The 25,608-nt window shown below is 40.7% G+C and overlaps 1 protein-coding gene and 2 long non-coding RNA genes across 4 annotated transcripts in view, besides 1 other annotated feature; 2 read left to right on the top strand and 1 right to left on the bottom strand.

Annotated features, from left to right (window-relative positions):
- The window catches only part of LOC105370176 (uncharacterized), a 39,040-nt gene extending 27,497 nt beyond the window's left edge, over nt 1-11,543 (top strand). The window contains exon 3 of the long non-coding RNA XR_941905.3: nt 11,467-11,543. This is a non-coding gene — a long non-coding RNA (uncharacterized LOC105370176). The remainder of the gene's footprint in view (nt 1-11,466) is intronic.
- Nucleotides 4,817-25,213, bottom strand: VWA8-AS1 (VWA8 antisense RNA 1). The gene is made up of 4 exons (NR_039974.1): nt 24,148-25,213; nt 17,910-17,981; nt 9,766-9,933; nt 4,817-5,589 (listed from the first exon to the last, which is right to left on the bottom strand). It is a non-coding gene; the product is annotated as a VWA8 antisense RNA 1 (long non-coding RNA).
- Nucleotides 25,194-25,603: a silencer, noted in NCBI's record as "silent region_5293". NCBI's record gives its function as "represses an Ori minimal core promoter by ATAC-STARR-seq in GM12878 lymphoblastoid cells {active_cell/tissue: GM12878}" and the evidence as "EXISTENCE:reporter gene assay evidence [ECO:0000049][PMID:35858748]".
- Nucleotides 25,273-25,608, top strand: part of VWA8 (von Willebrand factor A domain containing 8) — a 394,275-nt gene continuing 393,939 nt past the window's right edge. For both annotated transcript variants that reach the window (NM_015058.2, NM_001009814.2), the window contains exon 1: nt 25,273-25,529. In NM_015058.2, coding sequence (NP_055873.1) covers nt 25,367-25,529 — 163 coding nt within the window. In that variant the 5' untranslated portion in view covers nt 25,273-25,366. The remainder of the gene's footprint in view (nt 25,530-25,608) is intronic.

The following is a 25,608-nucleotide window of genomic DNA, read 5'->3' as shown; positions in this document are numbered from 1 at the left end:
CACAGAGGGTGCATGGCCTACAGCCCTCATAAAACAATTACACAAAATTCTAATACTGATATATTCCTCAAACATGAGTTGTTCTGTTTTGAGAAGTACCACATGTGGCATATCAACAGCTAATCCAAAGGGCAGTCTGCCAAACTCAGTAAAGATGCTTATCAGTCTCTTCTTTTCAAAGGGGTCATAACCTAGTTGCATCCAGTGATGCCTTATTAGATGTAAATGGGCTTTGAGAGTCCCTTTCTATGTCAATGCAAGAAATTATCCATATAGTGCCAAATATTTATGGGTGTATGAAAACATTCTTGACTGAATTTCTCACTTTTCTTTTAAATAGAACTATCATGTACTTTCAAATAGTGAGTAATCAGCAGGAACAAGCCAAAGTTTAAAGAAGAGAGCATTTAAAGCACTTCCTGATTTTCTTCTTCATAGTGTATATATTTAATATGGTTAGTACTGGGCTCAAAGACAGATTTTTTTCCCGAAAAGTTAATTGTAAGACATTTGTTTGGAACTCAGTCCATATTCCCATTGAAATAATGACACTTTACTTTTCTGGGTGAAGGTAAAGTTCAAGTACCTGGAACTGTAAGAAGTTACCTTTTCTTCTACTATAAAATATACTTAGAGATATAATGCATAGCAACACATTTTTAAGTAAACGGATTATTCACCTCCCTTCACAATACTATTCAACATGGTTACTTAAAATATAAAAAAGACCCAACAATGGAAACAGAAGCTGTCATAAAGGAGGAGGGGACCAAGGGCTTGGAGGATGGATATGAAAAATAAGGCTGAATAAGTTTCCCCACTTCTCATTTTCAATTTTGATTTTTCTGTTTTTCACCATTTCTTAGTTTCCCCAGTCCCTCTCAATTGCCTTACAAGCACACAACCAGGCTGGCGGACATGGTGGAAAGAGCAGTAATGAAAATTTCCCTGCTTTTTTCTCTTCCTCTTTCCTCGTTTCTTCCAGTTCCATCTCTCCTCTCCATTTTTTCCTCTGTTATTTCCCTCTATCCTCTCTCCCTCTTTTCTCTCAAATGCCTTTTCTATTCTTCCCTGAGCCATATGCCCCATCATTCCTTATGTGATATTGTTTTGGTCTTTAAATTCCTCCCTAGTTTCTTAAATTCCCCCCATCCCATGGCCATTGCCTGGATTCAGGCTCTCACAATCTCTCACCTGCAGCCCAAATGTTTCTCTCTGCCTGTACCCTTATGCCTCCCATCCATTCTCCATGCTATAAGTAAGATAAATCTAATCATGTTACTCTCCTAATTGAGGAACCCAATATTTGGGGGGATTAAATTTAAATTCCCTTTATTTGGCTCCTATCTCCTTTCGAGCCTCATCTCTTTGCCAGCCCTCCATCCATTCCATCTGACTGATTCCTTCCTAGATCTTCAGCCTGGGTTGAGGTCTCCTTCAGCGTTCCCTCAGCATATAGCTTTAACTTAGCATTTTTAGTAACTTTCTTCCATTTCTCTAGACTCTGAGCACCTTGAAAGCAGACATTAAATCTTTTTTCTGTAGCACAATTCTGCAGAATTAGGAAGTCCACTCCCTTACCAGTTTTGGGCACAGTGACAAGTAGAGAGAGTCCCTGCTAGAACGAGGCAGGAACTGACCAGGAGTGATGAGGGGTAAGAAACAAGAGCACATGTGAAAGAGATGTGCCGTTCTGGGTAGCAGAGGCTCTGCATTAGCACAAGGGAGAGGGATCCCAAGTCAGGAGGAAAATTCTTAGCCGATGCAAAAAAGGGACACTTTTACAGCAGCATCATTAGAGCTCAGGCAAGAGAAATGAGCTAAGCTGGGCACAACTAAACCAGGAACTTTCTATACGCTTGTTTAATATATCACAACATAAACAAAAACAAATACTAAAAATCAGTGTCATGGTTCTAATGCTTTAGTTTTGTGAGTGCCATTAGAAATGACTGCTAAATATATAATTTGCTCTAAAAAATCTTGGCAATTCAATTTTTGTGAAGGAAACTTCATCTAATACTTGGCTAATTTAAATATATTTTATATATAATATATACATATGTATATATCATATATGTAATGATATACATATACTATGTATATATTATATATATATGATGTACATTCTGAAACAAATCCTGCCGAATAATGGTTAACAAGCAGTATAAATTAAGAATCCCTTTTACATTGGGAGGGCTGCCTTCAATCTACAAAGCCTTTCCTCCCAGCTAACCCAGCTAACCCAGAAGAACAGGGGTAGAGAAGAGGGAGACCATGCTGTTTTGAACATACCATGTTTGAAAGACCTGTAGAAGAACCAGATAGAGCTGCTAATTCAAGAGTTGGAAATACAAGACTAAGAGCAAAGAACTTGAACTTGGAGGTCTTCCTCTTAGAGATGGCAACTAAAGCTGCAAGAGCAAGAGAAATGAAGTGGTAGGAGAGAAAAGACCAAATCTTGTCCTTAAAAATAACGCTTTTGACAAGAGCAACAAAATTAACCTCAGATCCTTGGTAACACGAATGCTTGCCTAAACATTTTTCTTCATTAGGAGTTGAAGGTGACCATGCATACACTATGTCAGGCCACAGGGAGACACTACTTTACCAATCCTGAAGTGGATATTCTTCTTCTTCTTCTTTTTTTTTTCTATCCCACTGGGGGAAAAAACAGTAACAACAAAATCAATCAAGGCCTACGAAAATATGTAACTTAATATAGGCTTTAAAAAGAGAAAGTGTTCCATTTCATGCTTTAGTACAATAAATATTTAATAAATTCAGCAAACAAAAAAAAAGTTTGTTCTTTCTTTTGGTGACAAGGAAAGCAGAAGATAAGGAAGAATGAGGAAGGATATAGAAAGGGGAATAAAATGAGAAAAAAAGCTCCAGAGATAGATAGCCACAAGGAACTCAATATACAAATGGAAAAACAGAGGAAGACAAAAGCAGAGTCCAGGAAGGTAGAAGGATGAAGCCTTGGCAGTTGGCAGTGAGTTGTGAGAAGAGACAGATGAGAAGAAAAATGCAGATGTTTTGAATCACAGTAAAAGGTGGCGCCACTAACCCGGATAAGGAACACTAACCAAGGAGAACAGGGGTAGAGAAGAGGGAGACCATGCTGTTTTGAACATACCATGTTTGAAAGACCTGTAGAAGAACCAGATAGAGCTGCTAATTCAAGAGTTGGAAATACAAGACTAAGAGCAAAGAACTTGAACTTGGAGGTCTTTAGAGATGGCAACTAAAGCTGCAAGAGCTAGAGAAATGAAGTGGGAGGAGAGAAAAGAAAGAAGAAACTAAAAATGAATATCAAAGAATGACTACATTAAACCACTGCAGTAACTTTTTTAGTGAAAGCAATGAGATCAAATGTGCTGCATTATTTTACGATACTTTGGCTTGACATTTTGTGATACATTGATCTAAGTGTCTATTTCTAATTTGATTTATGACTACACTTTGTTTTAATGGTAAAGTACAAAGACATGCAGAATTAAATGGAAGTGCATCATTGGTGGCACTAAATAACAGTACTCAGGTTTCTATCACATACATTGATTATGCAGAAGTTTTTGTTGAAACCCAGATGGTCAATTTCTGCTTTCCCTGATGTCAATGAGAGGTCCTCGCAAATTAATTGGAAGGCATTGTATTTTACAATTTTTAACAAATGGATCAAAATCCACAGAAACTCTTCATTTGGAAGATTTTAAAATTAGTTAGAAAAAAAGTCTTTTTCCCAAGTTCTTTAGTTATGGAGATATGACGGTTTTAGTATGTGTCATGTTTACATTGATTAGGCAACAAAATCACTTAACAATGGGAGCACTGCCAAATCTCTGTTTTTAAAATGTTCTCTTCATAACTCAGTTTCTTTTGAAGAGTAATTAATCAATTGCTCACTCATTAGCTGACTTCTGTTCAGATCTAATTGGATTATTATTGTTTCTCCTCATAATGTGGCTGATCGCAGAGCTCTTACTAGAAAGTCAGTTCTTACCATTTCATATTCCCTTGGCTTGCATTATTGGTATCGTCTTCAATCAGGAGCTGCTTTGCAGAGATATTTAAAAATCATTTGTTTTTGGTTTGAGGATTAGTTTATTTAAAACTAGACATTATAAGTCATAAATCCCTGTAAACTGCAGTATGTGGCATTATGCTACAAGCAAGTGAATGAATGAGATCACAGAGGTCAACAAGGTCATTATGCAATGCTCAGTCTTCCCCCAGGACATCTTGTGTACCTGACATGACACAGATGGGATGGGGGCAACAATGTCATTCTATATATAAATATGAGTCAAGCCTTCCAAGTGGATTTCCAAATGTTAGGAAAATGTCATTTCTTTCTCATGTTAACATTTTTAAAAATATAAATAGGATTTCAATTATATTCTTCCTGTACCCCAGCGGCTTGTCTTCCAGAACCCTGGAGAAGTGAGTCCTCATTTTGGAGACCACGACTTAAAAGCAGTAGTTCTTAAGCTTTAGGGTTTCTAAGAATCTCTTGGAGGTTATTTATTTATGTGTTTATTTATAGCCAGGTTTACTGAGAAATAACTTCTATGTAGTAAAATTTACCTTTTGGGTTATATAGTTCCATGAGATTGGCCATTGTATGTGTAACCACCATCACAATCAATATTTAAAACATTTTCCTCAAGCCCCCCAAATTACCTTGTGATCTTTTGCATTCCATTCCCTCCTCCTAGCTGCAGCCTCTGGCGATGTAATTTCTGTCCCTCTAGTTTTATTTTTTTAATTGAGATAAATTCAAAAAACATAAAATTGACCATTTTAACTGAAATCATTTCAGTGGTTTTTAATATATTCACAATGTTGTGAAGCCATCACCTCTATCCAATTCCAGAAGATTTTCATCATCTGCAAAAGAAACCCTTTACCAACTAAAGCAGTTGAAAACTTTTACTTTAAAAGCTGGCTAAACATGCAAGCTTTGAAAAACTTGTTAAATAAACATGCAGATTCCCAGAGATTCTGGTTCAGTAAGCATGAGATGGGGCTCTAGAATCTGCAACTTTAACAAATTCTCAGGTGTTCCTGATGCAGGTGGTCCCCAAATCACATTTTGAGAAACTCTCTTCTAAAGATAAAGCTATTTTAATAGAGCACAATAAAGTCTAATTTTAGAAAAGACGGACATGTAGTAATTGGAGTGATCCCTTGTAAATATAACCTAGATCTCCTTGAGACCTCACCATCATCTTGTAGCAAAGGATGTCTCATTAACATTAATAACTACACATTTTTCTCTTAACCCTGCTGCCCATTCAGGACCCTATCTCTTTGGCAAAAACTCTTTAGATATTTCTGACCATCTGTGAGGGATGTATGACACCTCTTTGTTCCTGTCTTCTCATTTCAAAGTCACTTGGAGACTCCTCCTAGTGTCACAACTCATAATGCCAATACCAAGAATGAATATCAAGAACATCAAAGTCCATGGAACGGTTGTGACTTCCAACTATCCCTGTCTTGAATTGGATTCCCTGAAAACAGACTTTGAGTTGGAGAACTGTGTGTAGAAGGTTCTTTGGGGAGTGCTCCCAGGAGACAAACCTGTAAGAAAGGAAGGAAAGAAGACAGACTGAGCACAGAGAGAGAGAGGCCAAGGGCCCAAGTAGTCCTGTGGCCAAATCTTGAGGATGGCCTTCCAGCATTGTCCCCTATTGAGGCAAGCTGGCTGGGCCTTTGTATCCTTGCAGGAGCCAGTCATTGCTGCAGGGTGTTCTCCAGAAGAGGGACAGTTCCCTGTGGTGAAGGGCATTTTCCCATGAGGGACACAGCTCTGAGCCATCAGCAGTTGATATTCCCTGCATCTGAGGTATGGGTGTTTAGGACCTGAAGAGGCTACCTGAGCAGAATACTACAGAATCTACCACAGTCAGCTCTGCACCTGTCATATCCACATGCCTTTTCATAGTAAGTTTACTTCATCTGCAGTATTCTGGTTGGTCTTGTTTCCTGTGGAACTTGTTTTTTTTTTTTTCTTTTTGAGGTGGAGTCTTGCTCTGTCACCCAGGCTGGAGTGCAGTGGCATGATCTCGGCTTGCTGCAACCTCCACCTACCGGGTTCAAGCGATTCTCCTGCCTCAGCCTCTCGAGTAGATGGGATTACAGGCCCCCATCACCACGCATGGCTAATTTTTGTATTTTTAGTAGACAGAGGGTTTCACCTTGTTGCCCAGGCTAGTGTTGAACTCCTGACCTCAGGTGATTCACCCGCCTTGGCCTCCCACAGTGATAGGATCACAGGTGTGAGCCACTGTGCCCAGCCTCCTGTGGAACTTATAAGAGAAGGTAACTGGGAAGAACTCAATTTAGCCCGTACTGCTGCAGTTGATTAGAGGCTGTAACTGATACTCAATATCCACCTCTTCCTTTACCCATTTTTTTCGATTCCCTTTAACCTCAGCTAGGACCTATGCTTGTCTAGTACAATGACCCAGAAGCTCTTTCCTGTAGGGTTGGAGCCCTTGGCTACCATGATCCTGCAGCTTCTGTAGTTGTTGATTTACCATTAAAACTGAGCAACTGAGAAACAAGAGATGCTCCCATGGATTATCCCTGCGCCAAACATATTCTACGCGGCCCCCAACGTGTAGCAGAAACTCTGACTCCTCCTGATGATTAGGGTCAATTACTCATCCACCTAAGGGGAGGATTTTGACAGAAACTCTCATAACATTCCTCAAGCCAATGGAACTTTAAGAGACTGTGCATTGCCTTTAAGGTGTTATAATGTGTAATTTATTACAAAAAAAAATTAATGTAAAAAGGAAATAATTTGGTGAGATATTTCTGAGCTGCCCTGTCATGACACCCCAAGCCTTTTCCATCAAAAGCAAAACGCTTCATTGACCTGAATCCTTGTCTAGCTACTCCCTGCCTCTTTTATTCCACAGCCAAAATCCTCAAAACGTAGTCTCTACCTGCATTTTCCAAAGCATCTGAGGAATAATAGTTCCATGGTATAAAAAAGCAATTTTAAGGTAATTGAATTTGCAAATTTTCGTTATAAATAATAGTTAAGATTTGCTAATGGCTTACTGCAAATCAGTATTATCTTATTTATTTTATTCAGGCATTCACTCATTCAACAAATATTTACTGAGTTCTTACTATGCACCAGTCACTGTGGTCAGTCCTGGGAATGTAGTGTAATACAACTACAAGAATGTAGTCCCTACCCTCATGGAGTTCATACTTTAGACTTTAGTGGAAAGACAGACATTAATCAAATAATCACAAAAACAAATGTGAAATTGATGTGGTGCTTAATGCTATAAAGGAGAAATAGATGCTCCTATAAAATAACTGGGAAATTGACTTAGAAAAGTCATGAACAACTTCCCTAAGGAAAAGAATATTGGGCTGGAATTAGAATAATGAATAGGAGACATGTATATGTATGTATATATTTATATTCACATACCAAAAATTTTCCACATTTGATTTTTTAATAAAACAATCCACAGATCAGGAATTTCAGCAAACTCTAAGCAGAACAAATACAAAGAAAAACATACCTACTAACATTATGGCCAAACTTCTGAAAACCAAAGATAAAGAGAACAATCTTAAAAGCAGCTAAAAGAAAAAAGACATTATCTCTCTTACACACACATACACACACAATTATAAGAATAAATGGATTCCAGAATATAGTAGGATGACACCCTTTAAAGGGCTAAAAGAAAAAAAATTCAACTAGAATTCTCCATTCACTGAAAATGTCCTTCAGAAAGGAAGAAGAGATTAAAACATTTCAGCTATATAAGAATTGAGAGTCATTGCCAGCAGACTTGCACTATCAGAAATGCTAAATGAAGTTCTTCATGCTGAAGGAAAATATTGCCAGATGGAAATTCAGATCTATAGGATGGAATGGTACACACTGAGAATGGTAAACATGTGGGTAAATATAAACAAGTATTTTCATTTCTTAAAAATTTTAAGCAAGGGGATGTATGCTGAATTGTGTCTGGTCAATTTGGGACCCCCACTCCTTTTGGAGGCTACATTTTCTGGAATCCTTTTCCCCTTGGTTCTAAGTTAGAGTTGACCAAAAGAAAACCTTGCCTGAGATCTGGAAAGCAGAAATAAAGCAGAAGCCATTACTCTTGAAAGGCTGTGGTCACACATGCTGTAGTAACTAGCAAGTTTCACTTTGTTCTCATTCTCCTGTTCTGTGTCCAGCTAATCTTCCCGACTGCTGGTCCTACTGACAAGTAATGACCCCAAATCCAGCACCAAGTACTTGACTAGAGGCCCACAGAACATTAAAATGACTCTATTCAAGGCTGCAACCAGCTACCATGTTTTCTGATATGTTGTACTATTTTTAGTTTTCATCTTAGCTGACTTCTGTTTGAGGTGTTTGATGGCTCTGTTTTCCTGAAGATGATCTACTTGACTCTCAGCTTTGTTGACACTGTGATCTCCTGGGTTCTGCATCTCTCACTGCTTTCTAGTCTCCTGAGTTCATCTGCCTATCCTAACATGTGCTCTTCAGGATTCTGTCCTAGGTTCTCTGTTCTCACTCCTACACACTGCAGAGTGATCACACACTGAGGAGGTCAGAGTGTCTCCTTCATTAGTTCAACAAAACGAATTTGGAATTTTGCTAGCTGCTGGGGTAGATGGGGAGGGGGTGTGGTCCAGAGATAAAAGACACTGATCCTGCCCTCAGGGTGCCCATAGTCTACTGAGGGAGACAGAACTTCAAGAGAAGATTGTTGATAGTATAGCAGCGAGTGGTGGGAGAAGGCCGGATCATAAGGGGCTTAGATTAGTAAAGAGTTTTGAATTAATCTTGAGAGTAAAGGAAAATCAGTCAAAGATTTTATATAATGAAGTGACATAGTTAGATTTGCATTTTAGAAAGATCTTCCTGGAAATGATGGGGAGGAGATTAGACGGTGACAATATTGGAGAAAGAAAATTATTAGGAAGTTCCTGCAGCAAACCAACAAGTTATGATTTAGGCCTGAAACAGGGCAATGGCAGAAAGAGCTTGAGATGAGGGAAGGGATTAGATGGATAAGCGGTGGCTCACTCTTGTAATTCCAGTGATGCAGGAGAATCTCTTAAACCCAAGAGTTTGAGGGAGCAGTGAGACTGGGTGGCAGAGTGAGACCCTGTCTCTCCCTCTTTAAAAAAAAAAAAAAAAGAGAGAGAGTGAGACAGAGGTCAATTTATTGGGATTTGGTTCTCATTTGGATATGAGAGAAGTAAAGCTATGAGAAAGTTTAAGGAGGACCTGTGGTTTCTAATTTGGTTAACATTAAAAAGACTTACTATGACTGGGGTAGGGACATAAGAGGAGAAACAAATTTTAAAGGAAAAAAGGATGAGTTCAGTTTTGAGTTTAAGTTATCTGTGAATCATTTAGAGTAGGACTATGCGATTTAGGCACTATTGACATTTTGCGCCAGATCATTCTTTGTTGCAAGGGGTTGTCTTGTGCATTGCAGAATGTTTAGCAGCAGCCCTGGCCTCAGCCCAGTACATGCAGGTAGTACCCTACCCCCAGTTATAAAAATATAAAATGTCTCCCTTCAGACATTGCCAGCTGCTCCCTGGGGGACAAAATCACTTCCAGTTGAGAATCAGTGATTTAGATAGAGGTTGCTCCCATGGTTTCAGCTGCCATGCATATGCTAATGATACTCGTATTTGCATCTCAGCCCACACCTTCTCCTGAGCTCTAGACTCGTGTAATAAACAGCTTACCAGACATTTCCAGATTGGCTGGACAGGATGAGGGCCAATTCAGTTCAGGGTGATATTTACATTCCATCTGTACGAATTCTATTCAGAATCCCATTCAAGGTGCCAGTTCTTTAAATCCATAAGTGGCACAAACTGTTGTCAAATTCCTGTATGTATAGAGAAGTTTCTCTTAAAAAAAAAAAGTGAGAAAAAAAAAGATTTTATTTTTATTTTGGGGATTTCTTTTTTCCTGGGAGTAATGGCTCCATAGTAGCTAAATAGGTACATATTTCAGGACCACAGGGAAATCTATGAATTCAGAAATGGACCGTTCAATTACGTGACATTAGTCAGAAATAGGTTGTTCTAAATTTATGGATTTAAATGTGTCAAGGAGAATTAATTCTCTCTGTGGAGGACTAAGCTAATGTTTTTTCCCTTCATTTTACTTCTCCCAATACTAAGATGAACATATGTTTATAATAGAAATTTTTGAAACATAGAAAGGATAAACGAAAATTTATAATTATTTTTGAATCATTCAAATGTACTCTATAGTTTTGTATATTTACTATATAATTGTTACAAATTAGAATCATGTTGGATATATAGTTTTGTTTCCTAGCCTTTTAAATATTATGTTACAAAGATTTTACAACTGCATAAATTATAATTATAATTTAGTTAGCCATTCTTATTGAATAGTTTTCAATATTTCAGTATTATTAATAATACTGCACAAAACATACTCATACCAAATCTTTGATAACATCTCTGTTTATTTCCTCAAGCTAGAGTCCTAGAGGGGTATAAAATGTTTCTAGTTCCCTGACATGTTGTCATATTGCATCCCAGAATAACTGTACCACTTTACACACCCACAGGAATATATAAGAGGATTCTCCTACTCCATTCTTATTTCTGATTTCTTACTCTCTTACTCCATTCTTATCTTCATTATCAAGGGGTTTTTTTGGTTGTTGTTTTTAAAAAAAACATTGCCTATCTGATATGCATAATTTTTTTTCCACCTTAAGTTGAGCAATAAGGTTTGTGCTATTAGGCATTTTTTTTTTCTTTTTTCCTTTTTTTTTCTTGTTTTTGAGACTGAGCCTCACTCTGTCGCCAGGCTGGAGTGCAGTGGCCTGATCTCGGCTCACTGCAACCTCCGCCTCCTGGGTTCAAGTGATTCTCCTGTCTCAGCCTCCCGAGTAGCTGGGATTGCAGGCACGCGCCACCACACCCAGTTAATTTTTGTATTTTAGTAGAGACAGGGTTTCACCATGTTGGCCAGGATGGTCTCTATCTCCTGACCTCATGATCTGCCTGCCTCGGCCTCCCAAAGTGCTGGGATTACAGGAGTGAGCCACCACGCCCGGCAGCTATTACGCATTTTTAAGGGGTGCACCGTGCATTGTTACAGAGGGAAGGAAAACACTCGGGCCGAATTGCTACTCAGGGAAGCCCAGGCCTGGTCACCTTGGGGAAGGCTATGAAGGGGGCTCCCAGCACCCCCTCCCTTATGCCTGGTTGCCTCCCATAACCACCCTGCCTTGGGGGCCCCAGCTCTTTTATGCTTTTTACTCTCAATCTTATTTTGCTCTCATGAAAGGATTGAATAGATATGGGTAAGGCTAAATTCCTTAACCATCGATGCACATTTAAATTATGTTTTGTTTGTTTTACTTACAAATACAATGATATGTTTCTTCTACCATACAGGGTCCTGCAGATCTTTGAGCGTTAAGACAAAACCTTTGTCCTGAAAGACTTCGTGAGCTGGTCCTGAGAGACTGTGGCCAATGCCAGTGTGTTATCTATTTCTGAAATCCGAACTTCAGAATGAACGGAAGGGAGTCAAAAACCCTGCCTCAGCATGTCAGGCAAACCTGTATATGAGAGCTGCGAGTTTGTTTTGTTGATTAGTTGATTGGGGCTGTGGTTGTGGGCATGGTGGCGTAACACATTCTTTGTTCTCGTCTACCTTTGCTCCCTTCCCTTCCTAAGTTACAGAAATAATACATGCTTGTTTGAACGCGCATTTGTTACAAGCATGTGATTTTTTTGTATCTTAAAGTAATACCAAAGGAAATAAAAGTTTTTCCCTTACCCCATCATTATCCCTCCAAGGTAACCATGTTAACAGACTGGTATGTGACCCTCCACACCTTTCTTCACACTTACACAACACATACCAACAAAAGTACATAGCTGGGGCTGGGTGCGGTGGGTCACGCCTATAATCCCAGCACTTTGGGAGGCCAAGATGGGCAGATCACTAGGTCAGGAGATCTAGACCATGCTGGCTAACATGGTGAAACCCCATCTCTACTAAAACTACAAAAAATTTGTATTTTTTGTATTTTGTATTTGTGGTGGCACACACCTGTAGTCTCAGCTACTTGGGAGGCTAAGGAAGGAGAATCACTTTAACCTGGGAGGCGGAGGTTGCAGTGAGCCGAGATCGCTCTGCACTCCAGCCTGGGCGACAGGGCAAGACTCCGTCTCAAAAAAAAAAAAAAAGTATGTAGCTGGAACTGCGCATTCATTTTCCTTTTACTATTATGCCTATTGTGATTGCTATGATTACTATTATGTTCATTACTCTCCAGCTTGTTTTGCTAACTTAACAATACTTCATGTACATCATTTTAAGTCAATGCACACAAACTAACTTATTCCTCCTCCCTTTTAAAAATAGACAACTCTTAATTGAATAAAGTAATAAATGCACATGATACAAAGTCAAACACTACAAGAGAATACAGTGAAAATATTTGTTTGCCTCCCAACCCAGACTCTCAGTACCCTCCCCAAGGGAACTGACTATGTAGAGTAACAAGACATGAAGAAGGAGTTTTTCCTTTCTCCCTGGAAGTGGAAAATAGGACCCAGTGCTAAGGACAGAGAGGCACAATGACTTTGCATTCTAAAGAGTCCTGCCAATATTCGGGACTGGGCACCTTCCCCAGAGTTTAGTAAATCAGGCAGAATTGCCTTCCTACCACTAGCAGGCACCCCATCTAAAACTCCGTAGTGTATAAGGAAAGGTGCTGGGGAGGCGAGAGAGGAAACGTGCCATTACTTTGATTGTAGGTCTCAAGAGGAGAGAAAAGACATTTTTCTCATGCATGCTGTCCCTCTCATCCCCAAAGCCAAGTCAAGGGGGACGGTCCCAAGGGAAGCACAGGGGTTGGGTCTAGCAGTGGCACAGCCATTTCCCCAAGCTCGGCAAGGTGCTGGAGTTCCCTGTTAGTCAGGGGCATGTTGTGTTGCCTGCAGGCAAACTAGAGTCCTGCAGCTGTTCCCCCCGGAGGGCAACCCCAGCAGCAAAGGCTGTGGGATGTGCCACAGGAGGCAGGAGCAGGGCAGCAAAAAGAGGGCCAGCAAGAACTGGGTGGTCCACTCAGGAAACTGCGCAGAGAAGGGTCTCTGACAAACTTGGGCCTACAGCCCTTGTGGAGCTCACATTTGCACAGTGGCCACACAGAGAGTAGTGAGGACTATAATGTAGCTGTTAGGTTGGTGCAAAAGTAATTGCAGTTTTGTCATTACTTTCAATAAATAGCAAAAACCTCAATTACATTTGTACCAATCTAATAGAAATTGTGACAAGTAACTGGGAAGGGAAAGAATCATATTGTGCCCAGATAAATAAGGAGACTTTTGTTCTTTGCCCCAAACATCCTCTCTGTACCCAGCAAGGAGGCTCTGGGGCAAAAGCTCTCAGGTGGAATAGTACCAGGGGCTAGGGTGAAGTTGGGAAATCTGGTGGTGGGGGGTCTCACAATGACAGGGTGCCATTCCTAGCATTTAATGGTCAGGCACCAGGGATAATAGACAACCTTCAGTGCCTAAGTGAACCCTCATTATAAAACTTGACCAACGCAGTTATTCAGTGTTCTTGTGCACAGTCATGTGAGGGAGAAACCTGCACCTATGTTTTAAATAGAAATATATTTTTATTTTATTTATTTTATAATTTCATTTTAATGTCTATCTGTGTATAAATATTAAATATACATACAAAAATTGTTTGCAATGTTCTAATATGCACTGAATTTTATTCTGCAGTGGTTATGGGTTGTGATTTTCCAGCAACCCTCAACTTTTAGCTAGGGAGTATGAAACACATCATGGCATTTCTGCTGTATTTTTGGGATTTCACTGGATTTGTGAAAGGGTCTTAATAAGTCGTGTAGATTTTGAACAGGCAGGTATAGTTGAGTCTCTATTTTGGGTCACAGATCATATTTTCTTCCTGCTCTAACAGTGCATACTAAGGAGAAGGAAAGGGAGTCGTTGTTTGTGAGGAACGTGAAATATGTTGAAGATGATGCCGGGCAGCTAGCTTGGAATCCTTATGATTGCTAGTTGTCTGAGCTACATGTCGTTATCCACATTTTATTGGCATTAAAACAATAAAACTAAGGAAACAAAGGCTTTCACTAACATCAAGCTAACCTTGCTGGATTATACTTCTTTTCTTACTCCTGCTTTTCCACTCACATTTTAAACTTCAAATGTTTTTGTTTTCTTTTTACGTAAAGTCACCACTTTTTCTCAAAATGGCATCCCTTGTCTTTTGTGGTTACCGATATCTCTAAAATCTGGTTTCCTTTGTCACAATCTTACGTTAGCTTTGGATGTCTTTCTCTTTTGATTTTCACGTGTAATTAGCCACTTGATAATTATTCCAAAATGGCTCTTGAATTTAACCTTCTCTTCACAACAATCAAGTCCCTAGTTACTTTACATGTAAATATGGGGAAGTTATTTATGTCCTGTAAGCCTAGGTGTTCCCATTTGTAAAACAGAAATAACTGCTCTGATACTTAGTAATCACTCAACAAAGGGTACCCAGGAGGCCATTATGGAGAACAGAATTTACAACTAGTATGAAACTTTTTTCCCAATCCCCTCCTTTGCAGCCACTGAAGAAGGGGTTCTATTCTGACATCAGCTGGTATAGTGCATTCCAATTCTGGCACTAACAATCTGGAGTTAGTACAGACCCCACCAGTTAAAGGGCATTGGTCCAAAGCAAAACAGCCCTCACTTCAGACTGTTTACAAATCCAGAGGGGGATGGGTCTCACAATAATTCACTAAAATGTCTCACATAACTCAGGAAAGTGCTATATTTACAATAACAGCTTTATTATAAAGGGTACTAGGCAGGAACAGCCAAATGTAGAGACGCATAGGGTGACATCTTGGAGGGTTCCAAATGTAGAGATTCTACACTCTCTGCCACTCTGCATTCTGGTGTGTTGAGGTGTTCATCAACCAGGAAGTTCCACTGAGCTTTGGCATCCAGAGTTTTTTGGGGTTTTGGCCACATGAGTGAGATCCATTTCCAATCCCCCTCCACTTCCTGACGGTCAGGAGGCTGGGCTGCTATCATATGGTTCAAAGCCTCAACTCTTTAATCACATAGTTGATCTTTCTGGAATGATCAGCATCCATCCTGAAGCTATCTAGGTTCCACCATGAATCACCTCATTAGCACAAACTGAAGAGTGTTCGCAAAGGCTCATGAATAATAAAGAGACTCCTATTTGTGCCAGGAACCCAGGACAAAGACCAGACAAATTATTGATTATATGACAGGCTTCAAACAGAGTTTGAAAACCACTGACCAATAGGGCAAACTCAAACTTCTAAATATAAAACAGACTAAATAGGTCCCAAGTTCCATAGGAAACTGTCTTATTTACTATGGTTTCCCAGTGAATAGTGCAGTACAGGGCATATAGCAGGCACTCAATAATATCGTATGGAACAATTTCCTTAAATTCAATCATATGTTGTCTAGGACCCTTTTCCTAGTTACTGTGAGCACCAATACATGTTTTCCCTTCCCTATATCTAATCTAGGCTCCTGGAGGCCTCTGTATATTCTGACTAAAGATTTGGTAAATGCTCGTAAACAAAGTAATCCTTCTTTATGAATAATCACAATGCATGATGCCCAAAGAATGATTTACTTAACATGTTTCAGTAGTTTGAAAGAAAACAGATATCACACACAATTTGGTCATAACACAAATAGTTCACAATGACGAATTTAGAAAATCATTTACCATTAAATTTTAGGGTCCCTTGTGTAATAGAGAAAAGGCTATAAAGGTTGAGTGTGTGTAGAATCAGTAGTTTAGAAAAAGAGTTAAGGGTCATCTGTGTTCTCAGAGGTAGATTTACATTTTAATACTAGATACATTTGCTAACATTTCTATTTCTCCAGTGATGGTCACTGTGTTTGGCATGAAGTCATATTAGATAATGAGGAACTACACTCTTTGTTTTCCTCCCTCTTGCTTCCCACTCTCAACTAAAAATATAAATGACTTTATTATAACCATTTGGTTCTAAGAAAAAGATCTCTTTGTAGCATACTGCCCACAACCATGACTATTTCCTCTTTGCCACCTATTTTGGCCTGTTTTCCCCAGGCCTACCACTTCCTATTTCTTCTCTAATCTCTATTTACCATATTGTGTTTTGAAAATTACCACTAATTAGTACTAACTAGTTACCTACTGTATCAAGCATCATCCCTAACACCTGGATCTATAGTCATAAAGTAAGTGACAAGCCTAGTACATGACAAAAATGGACAGAAAGTGACAGAAAATGACTAACATTTAAGTGCAAGAGAAACTAATAACCACCTCACATGCATTAGGAAAGTCTGCGATTAAAAAAAAAAACAGAAAATAACAAATGTTGGTGAGGATGTGGAGAAATTAGAACCCTCACACGCTGATGGTAGGAAAGTAAAATGGTGCAGCTGCTATGAAAAACAGTATGGTGTGTTCCTAAAACAATTAAACATAGTATTACCATATGATACAGCAATTCTACTTCTGGGTATGTACCCAAAAGAATTAAAAGCAGAAACTAAAAGAGATACTTGTACACCCATGTTCATAGCAGCATTATTCACAATAGCCAAAATGTTTGTAACCCAAGTGTCCATCAACATATGAATGGATAAACAAATTGCAGTATACACATAAATGAAATATTATTCAGCCTTAAAAAGGAAGGAAATTCTGACATGTGCTACAACATGGAAGAATCTTGAGGACACTATGTTAAGTGAAATAAGCCAGTCACAAAAGGACAAATACTGTATGATTTAATTTATATGATGTTATGGTCAATTTTATGTGTCAAGTTGACTGGGCTACGGGGCACCCAGATATTTGGTCAAATGTTATTCTAGGTATGCCTGTGCGGATGTTTTTGGATGCGATTAACATGTGAATCCGTAGACTGAGTAAAGCAGATGGCCCTTCCTAATGTGGGTGGGCCTCATCCACTCAGCTGAAGGCCTGAATAGAACAGAAAGGCTGACTCTCCCTCCAGTAAGAGGAAGCTTCTCCTGCCTGGCTGCTTCAGCTGGGGCAGCACATTATTCCTGCCTTCAGATTTGAAGGGGTCTGGAACCTGCTGGCTTTCAGACTGGAACTTATACCATTGGCTTTCTTGGGTCTCCAGTTTGTCAAGTGCAGATCTCAGAACTTGTCAGTCTCCATAACTGTGTGAGCCAATACTTTCTAAGTCTCTCTCTCTCTCTGAAATCACATTCTGTTGATTCTGTTTCTCTGGAGAGCCCTGACTCTGGAGAAACCCTGTTTCTCTGGAGAGCCCTAATATATTTGAGTAATCAGAGTAATCAAATTTGTAGAGACAAAGTGTAGAATGGTGGTGGGCAGGGGCTGGGAGTGGGGTGAATGAGGAATTATTATTTAATAGGCACAGAGTTTCTGTTTTGCAAGATGAAAAGAGTTCTCTGGTTGGAGGGTAGTGATGGTAGCACAACAATGTGTCAGCACTTAATGCCACTAAACTGTACATTTGAAAATGGTTAAGGTAGTAATTTTTATATTGTATATATTGTACCATAATTTTTTAAAAATATAAAAACAATTATCTTATATATTAAACATACCAAAGTTAGCTGTGATGACAATAACCAAATGTAACAGCATAACTGTCTTTGTATTATCCATCAACCTCATTATCTATGATTTGTGTTACGAAAGATGGTATTGGTGGGAGTAATGGCGGTCATCACCCCCCTTTGCTATTTCTCAAGATTTTTTAAGAATGTACAAAAAAAGAAATTCATTTAAGAAATACTTAATGAGTACTTACTCTGCCAGGCAGTGTGTGAGGCACTTTGGATATAGTGCTCAGCCAGACCATCCTTCTGAAGCTTAGGCTCCACTGAATGGGAGAGACAATAAAAGATAAACCTGAAGTACTTATAGATTGTGACAAGCGAAATGCTGAGGCATGACACTGAGAAAGAACCAGTTATGGAAGTATTAGGAAAAGCCATTTCAAGCAGAGGGAACAGCAAGGATAATAGTACAATAATCCCTGAACTACTTAAGAAAGTGATACTTACATGAAGTTGTGGACTTTGAAGGGTGCCGAGTGAAGGGAATTTCCTCAAGCTTACAGAGTAATAAAATAGGAGACGCCATGTTTCCATCTATAAAATAAGAGGCTAATATTCTACGATAACCAGATCCTTTTTAACAATTATTTTGAGGATAAATACATGGATCAAGGAAAGTAATTCCTAAAATAAATAGACTGCTTATTGAAAACTTGAACATGAGTTTTTATCAATTAACTATATATACTATGGCTTGACAATTTTAATGGAATCTTATAGATCATTCTTTTTTAACAAAGGAATTTCTAGGCCAGGTGTGGTGGCTCACTCCTGTAATCCCAGCACTTTGGGAGGCCAAGGCAGGCAGATCACCTGAGGTCAGGAGTTTGAGATCAGCCTGGCCAACATAGTGAAGCCCCGTCTCTACTAAGAATACAAAAACTAGCTGGGTGTGGTAGCAGACACCTGTAGTCCCAGCTACTCGGGAGGCTGAGGCAGGAGAATTGCTTGAACCTGGGAGGCAGAGGTTGTAGTGAGCCAAGATTGTGCCACTGCATTCCAGCCTGGGTGACAGAGTAAGACTCCATCTAAAAATAATAATAATAATAAATAAATAAATAAAATAAAATAAAATAATTTCTAAAAAGCCTCTAAATTATCTTCTTGAAAACTCATATGTGGTGAGATAGATCTGTTGTGTCCTCAGACCAAACTCAGTATTAGAACAATTGACATAACAGGCATTATATCAGAATTAAAAGGTGGCTCTGGGAAAATGGGTCCCAGAATGGTGGAGAGCATGAACTAGAGACACTCAGGCCAACTCTGTTCTCCTTTGTTGGCCTTTGCTGATGCAGGAGTGAAGCCAAAGATCCAAAGAGCCTGATATTGTAAATATTTCTTCCTAAATAATAACACAGGCCTTGAAAATTATGTAATTCAAATTATAATGCTATAAGAACTGAGCTTTCCTTGCTAGGTAAGACAGTGCCTTGAGTGGACAGTAGTGCTGGAAGCATGTGTTCCCATTAAGGACTTGGTGAGGAGGCAAGGGAAATATACATATGTGGCCACCTTGCTTCCACCAATATTTTTTCTTGTTTGTTAATAAGTTGGGAACTTGATGTAACTTACAGCTATAATCTACAGCCCACCTTACTTTTACATATATGGAGAGGCATTATGAAGTGATCAATACCAAGGATACCCATATCTCCCAGTAAAGCAACTCCTACCAAGGTTTCAGGGGTAAGAGATGGCATCAGCCAGAATTCTTGGAATTATGAGCAACAGAAAGCTATGACAAACTTACTTGTATACATTAAGTCAGGATTTATTTACTCATGATGTCCAAAGCAATGTTTCAGATTGGGGTGATTCACAGTTCAAAGTATATCACCAGGACATTTTGTTTCCCTTGGTTGCAATCATTTGTTTCACCTTTCTCTTGTCTCAGTCAAGCTCTTCTCGAATTAAAGCCAAGATGGCCCTGACAGTTCTGGAGTTATGTGAGGCTATAAGCATCCATAATCTTAGAAAGAGTCCCTGCACCTATATCCATCTCTGACAAAGCTCTCTGATTGGTGCCGGGTCAAGCACTATGAGGCCAAATCACATGCCGAACCTGTGTGCCTGGTGAGGTGGAGTTAGGTGATGGACAGCCTCACTTGGTATGCAAGATGCAGGTGTAACTTGCATCAGAGAAGCAGAAGGAGTGGTCTGGCAGGCAGATATGACAGAATATCTAGTAAAGAGCGAAACATAGACATTGCTCCTTTGGAGGTAAAGGGATGGAATACCAATGTACCCTTTTATACACTTCTTCATATGTAATGAAAAATACTTATCATAGTAATCAAGGCTTCTAGACACGCCTCAAACACTGAATTTACATTTAATGCCCATTCAAAATATTTTAAATTATGGAGTTGCCTAACTTCTAAAGATTGGTTACTCGAATTGTTAACATTTCCTGAATACCTACTGTGTGCCAGGTGTTTTGCTAGACACTTTACATCTGTTATTGAAGCCTCACAACACTCTATTAAGTACTATCATATCTTTTTTTTTTTTTTTTTTTTTTGAGACAGGGTCTTGGCTCTGTTGCCAGGCTGGAGTGTGGTGGAGCGATCTTGGCTCACTGCAACCTCGACTCCTTGGTTCAAGTGATTATCCTGCCTCAGCCTCCTGAGTAGCTGGGATTACAGGCACGTGCCATCACGCCCAGCTAATTTTTGTATTTTTGGTAAAGACGGGGTTTCACCATGTTGGCCAGGATGGTCTCGATCTCCTGACCTCATGACCACCCGCCTCAGCCTCCCAAAGTGCTGAATTACAGGCGTGAGCCACCAAGTCCAGCCATATCTGTTTTACAGATGAAAATATTGAGGTGCAGAAAAGATAGCAATTTGGCTAATGTCATACAACTAGAAGTGATGAAGTATGATTGAAGCCCAGATTTGCCTGGTTCAAAAGCCCATAGTCTTCTTCGTATTTCTTCCTTACTTAAATCTATTTGCTCACATGGATTTGAGCTGCCTAAGTGTGGTGGAGGGAAAAAGTAATGTAAGTTGGCAACCTACTAGAAAGTGTCAATATTCTTAGTATGCAGAAAGCTCTTAAAATTAGTTAGAAAAATATTTTAAAAATACACAAAGGAGAATTAGATAAATAATAACTAAAAACACAAATTACTTATGAAAAAATGTTTATCCTTACTGGTAATCAAAGGGATAAAAATAAAAATACCCATCTATCTGGTCAGCCCTTTCTCTCTCTCCAAACCAGTCCCCCTAGCCCCTGTCTCCCACCTGTCTTCTCCAGCTCTGCAGCAGGCATACATCAAATGAAAGAGGCTGGGAATGGTGGCTCATGCCTGTAATCCCAGTAGTTTGGGAGGCAGAGGCAGGGAGATCACTTGAGCCCAGGAGTTTAAGACCAGCCTGGGAAACATAGTGAAACCTTGTCACTACAAAAAAACAAATTAGCTAGGCATGGTGGTACATGCCTGTAGTCCCAGCTACTAGGGAGGCTGAGGTGGGAGAATTGCTTGAGCCCAGGAGGTAGTGGCTGCAATGAGCTGTAATCATGCCACTGCACTCCAGCCTGGGTGACAGAGCCAGATCCTGTCTCAAAAAAATGGAAAAAAGAGCAATAAGAGGTCAGTCTTGGAGTACCAAAGAACCAGTGACTTTTGTGTTTTTTTTGTTTTTTTGTTTGTTTTTTGTTTTGAAACAGAGTTTTACTCTTGTTGCCCAAGTTGGAGTGCAATGGCACGATCTCAGGTCACTGCAATCTCTGCCTCCTGAGTTCAAGCGATTCTCCTGCCTCAGCCTCCCGAGTAGCTGGGATTACAGGTGCACATCACCGCACCCAGCTAATTTTTTGTATTTTTAGTAGAAATGGGGTTTCTCCATGTTAGCTAGGCTGGTCTCGAACTCCTGACCTCAGGTGATCCGCCCGCCTCGGCCTCCCAAAGTGTTGGGATTACAGGCGTGAGCCACTGCACCTGGCTGTGATTTTCCTTTTTCCCTCCCTCTCTATAAAGAACAGTTGTACAGCTTCATGACTGAAATGTGTGGCACATGGGTGATCTCCTATAGGTATTACTAAAGATGAATATTCTTGGGCCCTTTCAGACCTATTGACTCAGAATCTCTGGGTGCAGGGAGGAACGAAACCCTATAATCTGCATTTTAATAAGTTCTCCAGGTAATTAGGATGCACACAAAAGTCTGGGAACCAGTGGTATGAACCTTTGATTTCTTAGCTGGGGTAGACAGTAGGGAGGAGTGGAGCACCCACCTTTTTTCAGTCAGACATAGCATGGAAGGATTATTAGTTGCATTTTTCATCAAGTTACATTAATGTGGTATGTAAAAAATATTCCTCCCAAACTCTGGAAAGAGCTTGACAGTCAATACTAGCTTTTGGTAGTGTGATTTTCTTTTTTCTTTTTTTTTTTTTTTTTGAGACAGAGTCTCACTCTGTTGCCCGGGCTGGAATGCACTGGTGCGATCTCAGCTCACTGCAACCTCTGCTTCCCGGGTTCAAGCGATTCTCCTGCCCCTGCCTCCCGAGTAGCTGGGATTACAGGCACCCACCATCACGCCTGGCTAATTTTTGTATTTTTAGTAGAGATGGGGTATTGCCATGTTGGCCAGGCTGGTCTCAACTCCTGACCTCAGGTGATCCACCCATCTCAGCCTCCCAAAGTGCTGGGATTATAGGTTTGAGCCACTGTGCCCGGCTGGTAGCTTGTTTTTTAATAAGCATGTGATCAGATATTTTAGTGAGAGTTTGAGAGACTTTACACAGATTGTGATGAACATCTTTTAAAACAAAACACCTTTGGTTCTTCTTTAAAAACATTGTGAAGGTCCATTCTTTCCCATTCAGTCTCATTGCCATCAGCACTGTTCATCATTTCAAGTAGAGACTATTTTTACTGCCACGTAGCTAGCACTTGATGCTTCCTGTCTTCCTAATTCAATTCATAGTATGTCACCACCTAAAACACGATCAAAAAGTCCAGTAGCTGCCCAGTTTGCTCATCGGATGAAGTCCAACTTCATCCAGCTACTCAAGATTCTTCACTCTGTAACCTTCTCCTCCTGCTCTGCCAACACCTTCTACTACTTTCGAAAGATTAACCTCCTCATCTGGCTGGTCTCATGGCCCCTGTAACTGAACTCTGTCAGGACTCCAAGCCTCTACTTAGGCTCTATACCCCGCTTCTCTGTGTATCCAGTCCTAAATGGCATTCAAAGTTAAGCTCAGGTGCTGCCTTTTCTCAGGCTCAAAGTTTTCCTCCCCATTGTAGCTTTGTCACTCTAAAAAACCTTCACCATTTTTCCATTTCCTGGAGGTTAATGTGCAAACTCCTTCTCTTGGCATACAACATGGCCCCAGATTCTCTTTCTGGTCTTATTCTTACAAACTGTTGTATATACTTGACCTCTAGACACACTGAATCACTCTCTGGTTCTCAATCATGCCCTGCACTTTCAGCTGTTTCTTTCTCTCTCTCTCTGTACATGATCTGTCTGCCAGATTTGACTTGTCTCAGCCTGACAAACTCTTGTATAATATATCCTACATGAATCATTTCAAACACTACCTTCTCTGTGAAGACTCCAGGTGCAGCAATCCACTCCACAGTATGTTGAACCTAAATCTCTTGACACGTGTCTCACTGTATTGCAATTCTTTATTTGCATATTTATCATCAATACCTAATGTGAGCCCATTGATTCACAGTATCTAGCAGGGTACTGTTTATACAGCAGTTACTCAATAAATGTTGTCGTTGGGAGGCTGAGGCAGGAGGATCACTTGAGGCCAGGAGCTTGAGACCAGCCTGGGCAACATAACAAGACTCCACTGCTACGAAAACAAAAACACAAAAATTAGCCAGGCACAGTGGTGCACGCCTGTAGTCTCAGCTACTAGGGAGGCTGAAGCAGGAGGATCACTCGAGCCCAGGAGTTCGAGGTTGCAATGAGCTATAATACTGCCGCTGCACCCCAGCCTGGGCAACAGAGTGAGACTTTGTCTCTAAAAAAAATAAAACTAGGCAAAAAATGTTGTTGAATGCTCTAACTTGTGTTGATCTCTCCATTGTCTTAACTCCAAGAGCTCTTAGTGCTTATATCAACCACTTTGCAAAATTGCCTTAGGTTGTTCTCCCATTCTTTCAGGTGTCTACTGAGTTCCAGCGAGATTAAATGGAGATATCTTGACCAAGGTATTCAATTCTTCTAGCCTCAGTTTCTTCATCTGTAAAACGGAGGATAATAATAGTACCTCAAAGCATTTTTATGTGAAATGGGATAATTCATTAAAATCTTGATACATACAATGTGCTCAAAGTAGGAAAAGCATTTTATAAGCTTACATCCTAAATTTATGTCTTAGGGTTGCTATGAGGATTAAATGAGAAGATACACATGAAACGAAGTCATAATATATTGTGTAACTACTTATTACCTTTATTTTCACTGTCTCCTCATCTAGGTTAGAAGCCTGGTTCAGCCTTCATTCCTCAAGTTCTTCCGCTGGATGCCCAAAGCCTTCCTTACCTAGCCTTGTTTGACTTTTACAGTCTCCACTCTAACACTCTCTTCTCAGCACTCATCACAGGGTCAGGCGCAGGGTAGGTGCTATGTATTTAGACAGTGGCAGCTCTAGAATTAGCAAGGTCTTTAGCTGAAAGTGAGGTCTTCTGCCTTCTTTTTGATGTTTGCTTGTATAACTTGTCTCAAATATTTTGCCTTAGTCAATTCACTGTGACATTTTGGGGATGCAGTCTAATTACATTAGGCTTAGTTTGCTTTGTGGTAGGACCATTTCCGATGTTGGAATGTACAAGAGGGAGGCAGCCTTAGCCAGTGTCCTACTTTTTCCTTTACTAAAGACATAAATCATCTTTATATAACTTTTGTATTACAGCATGACTAGAAAAGTGCTTGATCTGGATCCTTTCTGATATTTAAGCAATTTCCATCTATCACTAAGATGTGAATTTTTTCCTTAGAATTTAGGAAGCGGTAATAAAACACAGAAACAAACAACCACCACCAAAAGGACAAAGGGTAAAGCTTTCACGTACGGTTTGGAAACACTAGTGTGGTTACAATGAATCAAGACAGTTGTGAAAGTTCCCATCATCTTGTGCATGTTTTCTCCATTTCCGAAATCTGAAGCCGAATACAGGGAAAGCTCCCTATACTTACTGGGCCTTTAACTAAGAAACGAAGACTTGGGGCAAGCATCTGAAGAGTCACACCGACAAATGCTCCTAAAACCCTTGGCATTTACTGAACTCCTGAGATTCTGTGGGATCGCAGGGAAACGGCGGGTGAAGGCCTGGTGCATCCAGGTGAACAGACAGTCTCACGGACTGCGAGGCGCTTGCCAGAGCCCAGCGCCGCAGCTCGGAGCACCCCCGCGGTGCGGGCAGTCCCGGGACGGTGCCGGCTCTTTGGGCTGGAGCTCCGCAGGCTCTTTCCGCCCGTCTGGGCCATGCAGGGCCGGGTAGGGCCGGGCTGAGTCTACTGAGCCGGCCGCGCCGCGGGGGAAGGAGTTTCCGGCGGACTCGGCTAGGTGCCGCTTCCTGTCCCCTTCTCCGCGCTGCCTCACGGTGCCTGCACGGGACGCCGCTCGATCCCCGAGCCCCCTCGCCGTCCCCGACAGCCCCCCCGGCGCCATGCAATCCCGGCTTCTACTCCTCGGGGCACCCGGAGGCCACGGCGGCCCGGCCTCGCGGCGCATGCGGCTGCTCCTGCGGCAGGTGGTGCAGCGCAGGCCGGGTGGCGACAGGCAGCGGCCGGAGGTCAGACTGTTGCACGCCGGCTCGGGGGCCGACACAGGTAACTCGGGGTGCGCCCCTGTCCTCCCTGGTGCCCCTGCGCTCCGTGCCGGGTCCCCGCGCGCCCCCGCCCCTCCTCT

The sequence above is a fragment of the Homo sapiens genome, chromosome 13 (assembly GCF_000001405.40).
Source record: "Homo sapiens chromosome 13, GRCh38.p14 Primary Assembly".
NCBI classification, from domain to species: domain Eukaryota; kingdom Metazoa; phylum Chordata; class Mammalia; order Primates; family Hominidae; genus Homo; species Homo sapiens.
The sequence above is the reverse complement of the archived record's forward strand: the minus strand, read 5'-3'. Positions and strand labels throughout refer to the sequence as shown.